This window comes from Homo sapiens, chromosome 9 (assembly GCF_000001405.40).
Source record: "Homo sapiens chromosome 9, GRCh38.p14 Primary Assembly".
NCBI lineage: Eukaryota > Metazoa > Chordata > Mammalia > Primates > Hominidae > Homo > Homo sapiens.
The window spans coordinates 79,435,457-79,451,974 of record NC_000009.12 but is presented as its reverse complement, the minus strand read 5'-3'; the positions used below and the strand labels follow the sequence as shown (position 1 = coordinate 79,451,974).

General features: G+C 37.6%; 2 annotated features.

The window, feature by feature from the left end:
- Nucleotides 12,109-12,683: an enhancer, noted in NCBI's record as "H3K27ac-H3K4me1 hESC enhancer chr9:82054207-82054781 (GRCh37/hg19 assembly coordinates)". NCBI's record gives its function as "activates a minimal SCP1, AML or CMV promoter by ChIP-STARR-seq in primed H9 embryonic stem cells {active_cell/tissue: H9 hESC(primed)}" and the evidence as "EXISTENCE:reporter gene assay evidence [ECO:0000049][PMID:30033119]".
- Nucleotides 12,684-13,258: an enhancer, noted in NCBI's record as "H3K27ac-H3K4me1 hESC enhancer chr9:82053632-82054206 (GRCh37/hg19 assembly coordinates)". NCBI's record gives its function as "activates a minimal SCP1, AML or CMV promoter by ChIP-STARR-seq in primed H9 embryonic stem cells {active_cell/tissue: H9 hESC(primed)}" and the evidence as "EXISTENCE:reporter gene assay evidence [ECO:0000049][PMID:30033119]".

Sequence of the window (16,518 nt, the reverse complement as noted above, 5' to 3'; positions counted from 1 at the left end):
TCTTTTTTGTAGCTATTGACAAACTGATTCTACAATTTATATAAAACAAAAAAATCCAAGTTAGCCAAAGTAGGACTATAGAAGAGAAAAATTTGGGTGGGGGGAGGTGCCTCATCAGAGAAGATATATAAATGGCAAATAATATTTAAAGATGCTCAACATCATTTATCATAAGAAAATTTCAAATTAAAACAATCACTATTATATAAATATCAGAATGACTAAAATAAAAAAAATCCTGACAGTATCAACTGCTGGCAAAAATATGGAACAACATAAACTCTCATTCATTGCTAGTGGGAATATAAAATAGTATGGTCATTTTGGAAGACAGATCGACAATTTCTTACAAAGCTAAACATAGTTTTACAATGGGATAAGGTGTTCCTAAATATTTACCCAACTGATGAAAAAACTTAGATCCACACAAAAATCTGTATGTGAACGTTTATAGTAGCTTTATTCATGTTTGCCAAAAACTGGAAGAAATCAAGATGAATGAATACGTGAATTAAACAAATTGTGGTGCACCGTGGCAATGAAATAATTTTCAATAAGAAGAAATTAACTATCAAGCCCTGAAAAGACATAGAAGAATTTTACATACATACTGTTCATTGAAGGAACAGCATGAAAAAGCTATATACTGTCCTCATCCAATTATGTAATAGTCTAGAAAAGGCAAAACTATAAAAGTAGTAAATTATAGGTGACCAGTGGCTTGATAGGAAAGAGGGAGAGTTCAATGGGTGAAGTACAGGGAATTTTTTAGGGTGGTACACAATTATTTTTATGATACTATGATGGTGAATACATGACACTACGCATTCATCAAAATCCATAAAACATAAAGAATAAACCTTAATGAATGCAAGTTTAAAAAACTCTTTTAGAAAATTGGGATATTCCAGGATGAAATGCAGAATGTGACAAAACAATCTAACTGCATCACAAACCTATGACACAACCTTACCGAATTTGGGGTGTGTGTGTGTGTGTGTGTGTGTGTGTGTGTAGGGGGAAATGCTTTGTGCATTTATAAGACTAAATTCAAAAGAAGCTGTACATAAGTATTGCACTCTATTTGATAAAGATTTTTTCTCAAGAAGGTATGAGTTAACAATTGTGATACCACTATATGTGTACACTGCAGAGGAACTACTAAGTAAATGGAGAGTGTCAGCCTGTTTTCTCATTGCTGGAGTGGGAGGTTACAGAGAATTAAGGGGATGAGGCTAGAATGATTTATATGGTAATGGATTAGAGTTAGAGACATAAACTCATGTTTAGCTGAATATAGACATAGTTATTACATAAAGAGATATCTAGAGATATGTGTATATACATCATCTGGCACACACACACATATATTTCCTTGCTCTGTCAGCTGAACAGGGTCTCAAAGAAAGACAATCCTTTAGCAACAAATGCATTAGCACCATGGTATAGGTTTCTAATATTCTCCAATCAAAGGAACCAGGATAACTGGGAGAAATGGCTTACTCCATAACTGGGCTGGAAATATTCAAGATGAGCCTGGAACCAAGAAAATAAGTTAGCAAAAATAATAACAAAACAACCATAACAAAACCTACAAATAAAAAACCTATTCACAGTGATGGGGATGTTTAAAGGATCATAGGAGCCAATTGAAAGCACTCCCAATGTCCAAAGCTGGAACAATTTGTTCAAGAAAATAAACTAGTATAATATTATTACCTAAAGTATAAAATAAATATCCATGAGTCCATTTATATTGAGATGGATATAAATAAATTATTGAATAAATTTAAAAAGTAGTTGAATAGACAAATTTTCCATGCAGAATAATTTCAACTATTTTATGTAGAGACTCTGCCCTCAAGAAAGTATAGCATAACTTCCCATTCTTCATATGTGGTCTGTGCATGGTGACTTCCTTCCAAAAAGAACAGTATGGAAGTGGGGAAAAAGGGTAGTGTTTGTCAGTCTTCACTAATAAATGAAGACCTTAACCTTATTGTGCTGATATAGGGTGAGTCATGTTGAAGACATATATATCCTTGATGCAATATGATGAAAATGGCATTTCACCTCTGTGTTTCTCCTCCCCTAAATAAGTAATTCTAGCGTAACGGTGAAAAAAAATCAGATAAATCTCATCTGAGGGACACTGCACAAAATACGTGAGCAGACTCCTCAAACCTCTCAAGGTCATCAAAACCAAGGAAAGTGGCCGGGCACAGTGGCTCACGCTTGTAATCCCAGCACTTTGGGAGGCCGAGGCCAGCGGATCACCTGAGGTCAGGAGTTCAAGACCAGCCTCGCCAATATGGTGAAACCCCATCATTACTGAAAATACAGAAAATAGCTGGGCATGGTGAATTGCGGCTGTAATCCCAGCTACTCGGGAGGCTCAGGCAGGAGAATCTCTTGAACCCTGGAGGTGGAGATTGCAGTGAGCTGAGATCGTGCCACTGCACTCCAGCCTGGGCGATAGAATGAGACTCCATCTCAAAAAATCTAAAAACCAAAAAGAAAAAAAACAAGGGAAGTAAGAAACTGTCACAGCTAAAGAAGAGCCCAAGGAGACAAGACAACTAAATGTAATGTGATATCTTAGATGGGCTCCTAGAACAGACAAAGAGCATTTGGTAAAAACAAAAGAAGTATGAATAACGTATGGACTTTTAATTAATAATAATGTATCAATGTGAGTTCATTAATTGTAATAAATATGTGTATTATACTAATGTAAGATAATAAGGGAAATTGAGTGTAGGCTATTTTTCTGTAAATCTAAGACTATGTTAAAATAAAAAGTTTATTTATAAATGTTAGTAGTAATTTTCTCTGGGTGGTTATATTCTAGGTTAATTAACATTTTTTCTTTCTGCAATTTTAAATGTTCCAAATTATAATAAACCCATACTAATTTCAAAATCAGCAAAAATGTTTTCTAATACGAACAAATACATATTTTGTTTAAAAGAAAACTATTTTCAGATTTTTTCAAATATACTTATTTTCCTCCAGCAAGATAAGAATACTATTCTGCTTTTCTTTTTCTTTCTTTTTTTTTTTTTTGAGATGGGGTCTTGCTCTGTCACCCAGGCTGAAGTGCAATGGTGTGATCTCGGCTCACTGTAACCTCCGTCTCCCGGGTTCAGGAAATTCTCCTGCTACAGCCTCCCGAGTAGCTGGGATTACAGGCACCCACAACCACATCCGACTAATTTTTGTATTTTTAGTAGAGATGGGGGTTTCACCATGTTGGCGAGGCTAGTCTCGAACTCCTGACCTCAAGTGATCCACCCGCCTCGGCCTCCCAAAGTGCTGAGATTACAGGCATGTGCTATGCTCAGTCTTAATGAACTCAACTATATGGCCATAATATGCATGAAGAGATGAGTCAATAAAACAAAAGAACTCAAGAAGTGCAACATGGCTAATTAGTGGATGCTTATACAGCTGGCTTTTGTTTAAAGAAAGGCATCTAATTGTTTAAGGGTTTATATATACACCAATTGATTTGGTCAAGTTGAGCTGTTTGGTGAATTATGTCAAAAGTCACAAAGAAAGACCCCTACTGTTTCATCAAGAGTTAACTTTCTACTCTTCAGATGAGCCGATCCTATAGCCAGCACTAAAAAGATTATTTTAGTATGAAATCTATTTTCATTACAACCAAAACTCCCCATAACCTAGCCGAGGAGCCGAGTCCTTTCGCCCCAGTGCAGTGCTAACCTCTTTGTCCTCTTTTTCTGAGGGCAGAAAATGTGTGCAAAACACTGTGGCCCTGTTTCACTTATGTAAGCAGGCCAAACTAAACTTCAGTCACAGTTGTCTTTATTTTATGAAGATTTAAAGTCAGAGTTGCCCTCATGCCCTTCATCAGCGTCTACAAGAAAGATTGCAGCCAACAGCAGGAGGCTGGAGCACGGCAAGGCCACCCAAATTCTGCCTGCTGCTTAGAGTGGTGAGAGCACACTTAAGAAGTCCTTCAAGATTTACTTCACACCCAAGAGGATAATGGGAAATGCCTCCGGGTTCAGGGTGGTGCTTTGTGTGTGGATATGTAAAGTAGCGTGCAACTTCTCTGCCCCAGAAATGACCCTCGCAGCATCCTTTGATTTGTAGAAACAAAATGCAAACAGGGAGGCTATTCTCAGCCAGGCTATAGGCACATGTTTATGATGCTTGCATAATTGCTCACACCTGTTTGGGAAATAAATTTTTAAACATTCCGTAGGTGTTCTGGGAACTCCACTGTTGCCTTTGCACCCCCAAACTTGGCATTTGAAAATAATAGTTGTTAATGATCCTAGAATTTTTTTCGTTTTCGTGGGGGTTTTGGTAAAACTAGAATTAGTTCACATGACTCCCCTATTTCCAAGTGATGAAGAAAGGAAACTGACCAAATGCCCTTATCTTTTAAAGTTATATTGCTATAACCTGAGAATGCAAAGTAATTTCCCAATAAAACAGTATAAGGTAGAATGCTAGATTCAAATCACTCCTTACACAAAGTTCTTCCTATGCACTCCAGTTTGTTAGCCCACTGCAGTACTCTTTTCTTTGATTACAATGCGATGCGTCTCACTTCGAGTTGTATGCCTTTCTGTTAATTTTCTTCCCCATTCAGCTTTGGAATTAACTTGTTAAATTAATCTCATCTTCATTTATTTTACAGTATCTTCATGTTTAAATGCTGATTTTATGAACATCTGTTTCAATCACAGTTGCAAACCCATTAGTTTTATGAGCTGTACATATTTTAGAGAGATTTACTGCTGACCTTTGTTGGTGAATTGAATGTTTTTGTTGTTGGTAACATTTCTGTAATTGATGCCATTTTTACTGCCACTGGGATAGCGGTTTCAAATGAGATATGTTTTGGGAAATCCTTTTGCTTAAACACATTAAATCAGACAGACATCACTTTAAAATTGTGTAGCTTTGGAAAAAAGTTTAGTGTGTTAAATCTTGCAGCATGAGAGCTGGGTAAACTGCCACTCAATTTTCCTTTACTTTGAAATAGTTTAAAAGTTTCATATTTGCTAGAAATGACATTTTTCCTTCCACAGTATTTGCCATTTAATAAAACAATTGGGGAAGCTACACTACTTATGTAACTGCTACGTGACTGTTGATAAACCCATCAATCAAAGGTGAATTGTGCATTCGGCTTTCCATGCCCATAGAAAAAAATACTGTTTTTCACAGTCAGATAGTACAGTAAAACACCACCTAAGTGTTCAACCTCCAGTCTCCAGGGAGACATTTTGAATTCCCTCTGTGTGTTAGGGATCTAGTAAAAAGTGAAATAAATTTTGTTTCTCATAGCAAGCTGATGAAAGTGGCAGGCTGTTTGAAATATCTTCCACTTTAATGAGTATGTAGGCTGACTCTTGCCTTCATCCTGGAGAAGGTAATCAGAGTTGGAGTACCTTGGAGGAACGGGGTGAAAAAGCCATAGCCATAAAGATGACGAATTTATTCTCTAATCTGTCTTAGAGACAACTTTCTAAGAACTTTGGTATGATCATTTCAGTTCTGTACACAGTGGTGTATTCTCAATTATGATGCTGAAAGAATTTGGTTTATTGTAAAAATTATCTATAGTTATGTGTCAATTTGGCTATATTCTGAATCAGAAGAAAATATCCAGTCTTTTCTGATGAAAAATGCCTTTATTTATTTTTATTTGGGTGCTTCCTTAACCTTTAGATAACAAGAGTCCTTGATTAGCATAAAATAGACTGCTAATTTTCATTTCAAAATGTTGCATTATGAAATAATGCAAAAGTACATAGCAGTTATAATGTGAAATTATACAAATATATATTTAAATTGAATTTTCTCTTACCAATAAAATATTGGGTTTTTACTCTTCATGATCCAAAGCATAGTTACAACATTCTTATCTTTTCAAGCACAGAAAACAATTATAAATCACAATTGTATGTAACAATGTGTGTGAGACGTCTTTTAGCATCTGTACTATCTGATTTAAAAAACTGCATTGCTCTTGCCTTTTTATTATGTTGACCAAAGTTCTCTCTTTTTCCCTCACTTCCTGGTTACAAACATAATGCTATTGTAGAAATCTTGGTTAGGCATAGAAAAGTATCAGAAATAAATCAAAATTAACTGCTATACAGTGTAAGTACTGCCAACATTTAAAAATATTTCCTTTTGAATAAGGTTTTGTGTCATGATTTTATCACTAGACATTATATCATCTTTCTGTCATTATAAAGTCTACAAAAGACAAGCTGTGATGCTTATACATTATTCCATCAAAAGGTTTATAATAACAGATTTAACTATTTATTTAGTTTTGCACAGATAGATTGATTCTGATTTTTTAAGTATCAAAAATAATATTGTGATAAATATGTTTGCATATAAATCTCTTTGCACATAGCTAAATTGTTATTCAGGATAAATTCTTGAAAGTATAGGGTAATGGTAATTTTGTTAAAGAAAACATACATTTGAATAGTATCTAAATTTTGCTTTAGGAAAGATGGACTGATTTACAACCCTATAGCAGAGAATGAGACTATTCATTTTACATTCTCATTTATGGTGGCTATTGGATTTGGTTTTTAAATACCTTGATGGATGAAAAATACTTAACTTTTGTTTTAATTTTACCTTGCATTTAAAAAATTGTTGAGATTTAACTTTTCTCATTATTACTTATTATTACCATGCATTTTTGTGAATTTACTGTTTATTTCTCTGATCCATTTTTCTATGGGTTATATGTTTATTATTAAACGTAAGAGCTCTTTATATATTAAAAATATTAACCTATCATTTTATATTTATGTGGCAAACATATTTTTATTTGTCACTGGCCTTTTGCTATGTATAGAAGTGTTTAATTTTGTGTTACCATATTTATTTCTTCTTTTGCTAGTACACTTAGACAGCCATTTGGCAACCAGAGATGATCTAATTATTTTATGATTTTCCTTCTTTTCATATAAATATTTTTTTAAGTTTTTTTTTCTTTTATTATTATACTTTAAGTTTTAGGGTACATATGCACATTGTGCAGGTTAGTTACATATGTATACATGTGCCATGCTGGTGCGTTGCACCCACTAACTCATCGTCTAGCATTAGGTATATCTCCCAATGCTATCCCTCCCCCCTCCCCCCACCCCACAACAGTCCCCAGAGTGTGATGTTCCCCTTCCTGTGTCCATGTGATCTCATTGTTCAATTCCCACCTATGAGTGAGAATATGCGGTGTTTGGTTTTTTGTTCTTGCGATAGTTTACTGAGAATGATGATTTCCAATTTCATCCATGTCCCTACAAAGGACATGAACTCATCATTTTTTATGGCTGCATAGTATTCCATGGTGTATATGTGCCACATTTTCTTAATCCAGTCTATCATTGTTGGACATTTGGGTTGGTTCCGAGTCTTTGCTATTGTGAATAGTGCTGCAATAAACATACGTGTGCATGTGTCTTTACAGCAGCATGATTTATAGTCCTTTGGGTATATACCCAGTAATGGGATGGCTGGGTCAAATGGTATTTCTAGTTCTAGATCCCTGAGGAATCGCCACACTGACTTCCACAATGGTTGAACTAGTTTACACTCCCACGAACAGTGTAAAAGTGTTCCTATTTCTCCACATCCTCTCCAGCACCTGTTGTTTCCTGACTTTTTAATGATTGCCATTCTAACTGGTGTGAGATGGTATCTCATTGTGGTTTTGATTTGCATTTCTCTGATGGCCAGTGATGATGAGCATTTTTTCATAGGTTTTTTGGCTGCATAAATGTCTTCTTTTGAGAAGTGTCTGTTCATGTCCTTCGCCCACTTTTTGATGGGGTTGTTTGTTTTTTTCTTGTAAATTTGTTTGAGTTCATTGTAGATTCTGGATATTAGCCCTTTGTCAGATGAGTAGGTTGCAAAAATTTTGCAGGTTGCCCGTTCACTCTGATGGTAGTTTCTTTTGCTGTACAGAAGCTCTTTAGATTAATAAGATCCCATTTGTCAATTTTGTCTTTCGTTGCCATTGCTTTTGGTGTTTTAGACATGAAGTCCTTGCCCATGCCTATGTCCTGAATGGTAATGCCTAGGTTTTCTTCTAGGGTTTTTATGGTTTTAGGTCTAACATTTAAGTCTTTAATCCATCTTGAATTGATTTTTGTATAAGGTGTAAGGAAGGGATCCAGTTTCAGCTTTCTACATATGGCTAGCCAGTTTTCCCAGCACCATTTATTAAATAGGGAATCCTTTCCCCATTGCTTGTTTTTCTCAGGTTTGTCAAAGATCAGATAGTTGTAGATATGCAGCATTATTTCTGAGAGCTCTGTTCTGTTCCATTGATCTATATCTCTGTTTTGGTACCAGTACCATGCTGTTTTGGTTACTGTAGCCTTGTAGTATAGTTTGAAGTCAGGTAGTGTGATGCCTCCAGCTTTGTTCTTTTGGCTTAGGATTGACTTGGCAATGCGGGCTCTTTTTTGGTTCCATATGAACTTTAAAGTAGTTTTTTCCAATTGTGTGAAGAAAGGCATTGGTAGCTTGATGGGGATGGCATTGAATCTGTAAATTACCTTGGGCAGTATGGCCATTTTCACGATATTGATTCTTCCTACCCATGAGCATGGAATGTTCTCCCATTTGTTTGTATCCTCTTTTATTTCCTTGAGCAGTGGTTTCTAGTTCTCCTTGAAGAGGTCCTTCGCATCCCTTGTAAGTTGGATTCCTAGGTATTTTATTCTCTTTGAAGCAATTGTGAATGGGAGTTCACTCATGATTTGGCTCTCTGTTTGTCTGTTGTTGGTGTATAAGAATGCTTGTGATTTTTGTACATTGATTTTGTATCCTGAGACTTTGCTGAAGTTGCTTATCAGCTTAAGGAGATTTTGGGCTGAGACAGTGGGGTTTTCTAGATATACAATCATGTCGTCTACAAATAGGGACAATTTGACTTCCTCTCTTCCTAATTGAATACCCTTTATTTCCTCTCCTGCCTAATTGCCCTGGCCAGAACTTCCAACACTATGTTGAATAGGAGTGGTGAGAGAGGGCATCACTGTCTTGTGCCAGTTTTCACAGGGAATGCTTCCAGTTTTTGCCCATTCAGTATGATATTGGCTGTGGGTTTGTCATAGATAGCTCTTATTATTTTGAAATACGTCCCATCAATACCTAATTTATTGAGAGTTTTTAGCATGAAGGGTTGTTGAATTTTGTCAAAGGCCTTTTCTGCATCTATTGAGATAATCATGTGGTTTTTGTCTTTGGCTCTGTTTATATGCTGGATTACATTTATTGATTTGCGTATATTGAACCAGCCTTGCATCCCAGGGATGAAGCCCACTTGATCATGGTGGATAAGCTTTTTGATGTGCTGCTGGATTCGTTTTGCCAGTATTTTATTGAGGATTTTTGCATCAATGTTCATCAAGGATATTGGTCTAAAATTCTTTTTTTTGTTGTTGTGTCTCTGCCAGGCTTTGGTATCAGAATGATGCTGGCCTCATAAAATGAGTTAGGGAGTATTCCCTCTTTTTCTATTGATTGGAATAGTTTCAGAAGGAATGGTACCAGTTCCTCCTTGTACCTCTGTTAGAATTCGGCTGTGAATCCGTCTGGTCTTGGACTCTTTTTGGTTGGTAAGCTATTGATTATTGCCACAATTTCAGATCCTGTTATTGGTCTATTCAGAGATTCAACTTCTTCCTGGTTTAGTCTTGGGAGAGTGTATGTGTCGAGGAATTTATCCATTTCTTCTAGATTTTCTAGTTTATTTGGGTAGAGGTGTTTGTAGTATTCTCTGATGGTAGTTTGTATTTCTGTGGGATCGGTGGTGATATCCCCTTTATCATTTTTTATTGCGTCTATTTGATTCTTCTCTCTTTTTTTCTTTATTATTCTTGCTAGTGGTCTATTTTGTTGATCCTTTCAAAAAACCAGCTCCTGGATTCATTAATTTTTTGAAGGGTTTTTTGTGTCTCTATTTCCTTCAGTTCTGCTCCGATTTTAGTTATTTCTTGCCTTCTGCTAGCTTTTGAATGTGTTTGCTCTTGCTTTTCTAGTTCTTGTAATTGTGATGTTAGGGTGTCAATTTTGGATCTTTCCTGCTTTCTCTTGTGGGCATTTAGTGCTATAAATTTCCCTCTACACACTGCTTTGAATGCGTCCCAGTGATTCTGGTATGTTGTGTCTTTGTTCTCGTTGGTTTCAAAGAACATCTTTATTTCTGCCTTCATTTTGTTACGTAGCCAGTAGTCATTCAGGAGCAGGTTGTTCAGTTTCCATGTAGTTGAGCGGTTTTGAGTGAGATTCTTAATCCTGAGTTCTAGTTTGATTGCACTGTGGTCTGAGAGATAGTTTGTTATAATTTCTGTTCTTTTACGTTTGCTGAGGAGAGCTTTACTTCCAACTATGTGGTCAATTTTGGAATAGGTGTGGTGTGGTGCTGAAAAAAATGTATATTCTGTTGATTTGGGGTGGAGAGTTCTGTAGATGTCTATTAGGTCTGCTTGGTGTAGAGCTGAGTTCACTTCCTGGGTATCCTTGTTGACTTTCTGTCTCATTGATCTGTCTAATGTTGACAGTGGGGTGTTAAAGTATCCCATTATTAATGTGTGGGAGTCTAAGTCTCTTTGTAGGTCACTCAGGACTTGCTTTATGAATCTGGGTGCTCCTGTGTTGGGTGCATATATATTTAGGATAGTTAGCTCTTCTTGTTGAATTGATCCCTTTACCATTATGTAACGGCCTTCTTTGTCTCTTTTGATCTTTGTTGGTTTAAAGTCTGTTTTATCAGAGACTAGGATTGCAACCCCTGCCTTTTTTTGTTTTCCATTTACTTGGTAGATCTTCCTCCATCCATTTATTTGAGCCTATGTGTGTCTCTGCACGTGAGATGGGTTTCCTGAATACAGCACACTGATGGGTCTTGACTCTTTATCCCATTTGCCAGTCTGTGTCTTTTAATTGGAGCATTTAGTCCATTTACATTTAAAGTTAATATTGTTATGTGTGAATTTGATCCTGTCATGATGATGTTAGCTGGTTATTTTGCTCGTTAGTTGATGCAGTTTCTTCCTAGTCTCGATGGTCTTTACATTTTGGCATGATTTTGCAGCGGCTGGTACCAGTTGTTCCTTTCCATGTTTAGCGCTTCCTTCAGGAGCTCTTTTAAGGCAGGCCTGGTGGTGACAAAATCTCTCAGCATTTGCTTGTCTGTAAAGGATTTTATTTCTCCTTCACTTATGAAGCTTAGTTTGGCTGAATATGAAATTCTGGGTTGAAAATTCTTTTCTTTAAGAATGTTGAATATTGGCCCCCACTCTCTTCTGGCTTGTAGAGTTTCTGCCGAGAGATCTGCTGTTAGTCTGATGGGCTTCCCTTTGAGGGTAACCCGACCTTTCTCTCTGGCTGCCCTGAACATTTTTTCCTTCATTTCAACTTTGGTGAATCTGACAATTATGTGTCTTGGAGTTGCTCTTCTTGAGGAGTATGTTTGTGACGTTCTCTGTATTTCCTGAATCTGAACATTGGCCTGCCTTGCTAGATTGGGGAAGTTCTCCTGTATAATATCCTGCAGAGTGTTTTCCAACTTGGTTCCATTCTCCACATCACTTTCAGGTACACCAATCAGACGTAGATTTGGTCTTTTCACATAGTGCAATATTTCTTGGAGGCTTTGCTCATTTCTTTTTATTCTTTTTCTCTAAACTTCCCTTCTCGCTTCATTTCATTCATTTCATCTTCCATTGCTGATACGCTTTCTTCCAGTTGATCGCATCGGCTCCTGAGGCTTCTGCATTCTTCACGTAGTTCTCGAGCCTTGGTTTTCAGCTCCATCAGCTCCTTTAAGCACTTCTCTGTATTGGTTATTCTAGTTATACATTCTTCTAAATTTTTTTTCAAAGTTTTCAACTTCTTTGCCTTTGATTTGAATGTCCTCCCGTAGCTCAGAGTAATTTGATCGTCTGAAGCCTTCTCTCAGCTCGTCAAAGTCATTCTCCGTCCAGCTTTGTTCGGTTGCTGGTGAAGAACTGCGTTCCTTTGGAGGAGGAGAGGCGCTCTGCTTTTTAGAGTTTCCAGTTTTTCTGTTCTGCTTTTTCCCCATCTTTGTGGTTTTATCTACTTTTGGTCTTTGATGATGGTGATGTACAGATGGGTTTTTGGTGTGGATGTCCTTTCTGTTTGTTAGTTTTCCTTCTAAAAGACAGGACCCTCAGCTGCAGGTCTGTAGGAGTACCCTGCCGTGCGAGGTGTCAGTGTGCCCCTGCTGGGGGATGCCTCCCAGTTAGGCTCCTCGGGGGTCAGGGGTCAGGCACCCACTTGAGGAGGCAGTCTGCCCCTTCTCAGATCTCCAGCTGCGTGCTGGGAGAACCACTGCTCTCTTCAAAGCTGTCAGACAGGGACATTTAAGTCTGCAGAGGTTACTGCTGTCTTTTCGTTTTGTCTGTGCCCTGCCCCCCAGAAGTGGAGCCTACAAAGGCAGGCAGGCTTCCTTGAGCTGTGGTGGGCTCCACCCAGTTCGAGCTTCCAGGCTGCTTTGTTTACCTAAGCAAGCCTGGGCAATGGCGGTCGCCCATCCCCCAGCCTCGCTGCCGCCTTGCAGTTTGATCTCAGACTGCTGTGCTAGCAATCAGCGAGACTCCGTGGGCGTAGGACCCTCCGAGCCAGGTGCCGGATATAATCTCGTGGTGCGCCGTTTTTTAAGGCCGTCGGAAAAGCACAGTATTCGGGTGGGAGTGACCCGATTTTCCAGCTGCCGTCCGTCACCCCTTTCTTTGACTAGGAAAGGGAACTCCCTGACCCCTTGCGCTTCCCGAGTGAGGCAATGCCTCACCCTGCTTCGGCTCGCGCAAGGTGCGCGCACCCACTGACCTGCGCCCACTGTCTGGCACTCCCTAGTGAGATGAACCGGGTACCTCAGATGGAAATGCAGAAATCACCCATCTTCTGCGTCCCTCACGCTGGGAGCTGTAGACCGGAGCTGTTCCTATTCGGCCATCTCTTTTCATATAAATCTTTAACGTATCCAGAATTTACTTTGGTGTATGGTAAGAAACAAAAGTTTATTTAATTTTTTCCCAAACAGTGAACTAGTTTTTTCAGCTTAATTTTTTCACTACCCTTGCCTCATGATTCCGTCTTTCCCATAGCATGATTCTTACATGTGCCAGGGTTTGTTTGGGGGCCTTCCATGCTGTTTTATTGACTAGTTTTACTTATTTTTTCTTGCATTTTAATAGCCACAATAATATAACATAATATATTAGTTTGGGCAAGTTGAATGACTTTTCCCCTCTCATCCTCAGAGATAAAGCTCTTGAAGTAGCTAACGCACAGTAGTATTGTCTAGCATGAAAAATAGATTCTTTTATGAAAAATTTTATTTCATTATTTAGAAGATGTACTTATTTTAAATTTTACCTCTGAAATGAAAACGTGTCCTGTAATTAATGTTAGCAGATGGCAGTCACTAAAAGAGTTATTAGGACATGCTGTAATGTTAGTATATTAGTACATGCAGTAATAGTTACAGCTGTTCCTATTTTGTTACATCAGTTACATTTAGTGCATTGCTGACATTATGAATGCTGAATTTGTGCACTTAAGATGTCCTCACAATTACATTATGATTGTTCATTGAAAAGAAAAGTTGTATGTAAAAACTAAACAGAAAGGCATATTTGTCATTGGACAAGGGACTTCAATTTTATATTTTCTAGCAAAAGAAATACCTATATGCATTACCCGACCTACACAAGGAAGATGCCTACAAGTAGCTGAAACTGTGTTATATGTTGTCACTAAGATACAGGAAAAGGATCGCCTATTATGCACTAAGCAATGCAACTGAAGACAGGAGAAATCACCAAATCCCTTGGAACAGATCAAAGGAATTTCAAAGCAATGAGTAACATATGTGAACTGGCTCATGAATTGTGCAGGATACCACACATTAAATTACCAGAAACTTCTTACTGACTTTGGACAGAAGTCAGTTAGCATCTAGCATCACGTGATTCAATTGAGTAAAAAAAGTGTTGCCATCAAAATTTGCAAAAGGGGGCCAGCCATGGTGGCTCATGCCTGTAATCCCAGCACTTTGGGAGGCCAAGGCAGGTGGATCACCTGAGATCAGGATTTGGAGAACAGCCTGGCCAACATGGTGAAACCTCGTCTCTAGTAAAAATACAAAAATTAGCCGGGGGTGGTGGCAGGCACCTGTAATCCCAGCTACTTGGGAGGCTGAGGCAGGAGAATTGCTTGAACCTGGGAGGTGGAGGTTGCAGTGAGCCGAGATGGCACCGTTGCACTCCAGCCTGGGGGACAAGAGCAAGACTTCATCTAAAAAAAAATAATAATAATAACAATAATTTGCAAAGGGGATAGATATAAGTGACTTAGAAGAAAATATTGGAGACAATAGTACAGCATTTTTCCTGAGTCACCAATCCTCTTGATGGTATGAGGAATGATATAGTGACAAAATCTGTCTAAATCTGAAAACAGCTCTTTCAATAAGTATTTTTTAAGTGAAAAGAAAGAATTACATTAAAATGTAATTGCTACCATTGGTACTACATAAAATAATGGTAATCAATACATAATATCATAGATTGGATAAAAAACAGCAGTTTTGCTGATTTTCTTCTTTGGAAAATTAGTGTACCCATGGGTAAATCCACCTCCTCTCTCTCATAGAACTCTATGAACAGATTTTGATCCTAACAACAAGTTTTCCTAAAGTTCTTGAAGGACATAATAGCACTGAAACTTCCATGTAGAGAACCTTGATCTCAATTTATAAGCCTTAGAACTCAAACGTGGTAATTCCAACACCCACTCATATCTAGGGCTCAGCTTCCCAAGTCCCTCTCACTTACAGTAATTTTTTTAGGCAAGTCACTTGGGGGCAGTTATGAGTGTCCATCCATGCATGACTCTAATCTATATTTTCTAACAAAATCTTCAATATCTTAGTTCCCAACACTCCACTATTTAAAAAAGTATTTTGATTATTCTTATTCTTTTTAGTTTTATAATGTGAGCTCTCATTTTGGATTCAGGTGGTACACATGAAGGTTTGTTACATAGGTATATTGTGTGATGGTGAGGTTTGGCATACAAATGATCTCATCTCTCATAGAGTGAGCATAGTACCCAACAGGTGGATTTTCAACTCTTAACCCCTCCTTCATTAGTCCCAAGTGTCTATTGTTCCTTTCTTTATGTCCATGACTACCCAATGTTTAGCTCTCACTTATAAGTGAGAACATGTGGTATTTGGTTTTTCTGTTGCTGGATTAATTTGCTTAGGATAATGGCTCTCAGCTGCATCTATGTCACTGCAAAGCACATTGCATTCTTTCTTATGGCTGTGTAGTATTCCATGGTATATATGTGCCACATTTTCTTTATCCAGCCCACCACTGATGTGCACCTTTGTTGATTCCATGTCTTTGCTATTGTGAATAGTGCTGCAATAAATATGCAAGTGCATGTGTTTTTCTGGTAGAATGATTTATCTTCTTTTGGGTATATACCCAGGAATGGGACTACTGGGCCCAGTGGTAATTCTGTTTTTAGTTCTTTAAGGAATCTCCAAACTGCTTTCTATAGTGGCTGAACTAATTTACATTTTCACCAACTGTGTGTACGTGTTCCCTTTTCTCTGCAGCCTCACTAGCATCTGTTGTTTTTTAAATTTTTTAATACTAGTCATTGTGACTGGTGTGAGATGGTATCTCATTGAGGTTTTGATTTGCATTTGTCTGATGATTAGTGATGTGGAGCATTTTCTCATATGTTTGTTGGCTGCCAGTATGTCTTCTTTTGAGAAGTGTCTGTTTATGTCTTTTGTCAACTTTTTAATGAGGTTATTTGTTTTTCTGCTTGTTGAATTAAGTTCCTTATAGAATCTGGATGTTAGACCTTTGTTGGATGCATAGTTTGTGAATATTTTCTCCCAATCTGTAGGTCGTCTGTTTACTCTGTTGATATATATATATTTTTTTCTGTGCAGAAGCTCTTTAGTTTAATTAGGTCCCTCTTTCAAGTTTTGTTTTTGTTGCAATTGCTTTTGAAGACTTAATCATAAATTCTTTGCCAAGGCCCATGTCCAGAATGTCATTTTTTATGTTTTCTTCTAGGATTCTTATAGTTTGAAATCTTACATTTAAATATTTAATCTGTCTTGAGTTAATTTTTGTACATAGTGAAAGGTAGGGGTCCAATTTAATTCTTCTGCATATAGCTATCCAGCTATCCAGCACCATTTATTGACTAGGGAGTCCTTTCCACATTGCTTATTTTTGTCAACTTTGTTGAAGATCAGATGGATGTAAGTGTGCGAATTCATTTCTGGGTTTTCTATTTTGTTTCATTGGTCTATGTGTCTGTTTTTGTGCCAGTATCATGCTGTTTTGGTTACTGTAGCCTTCCTTATGGTACAGTTTAAAGTCAGGTAATGTGATGCCTCTGGCTTTGTTCTTTTTGCTTAGGATTGCTTTGGCTATTTGG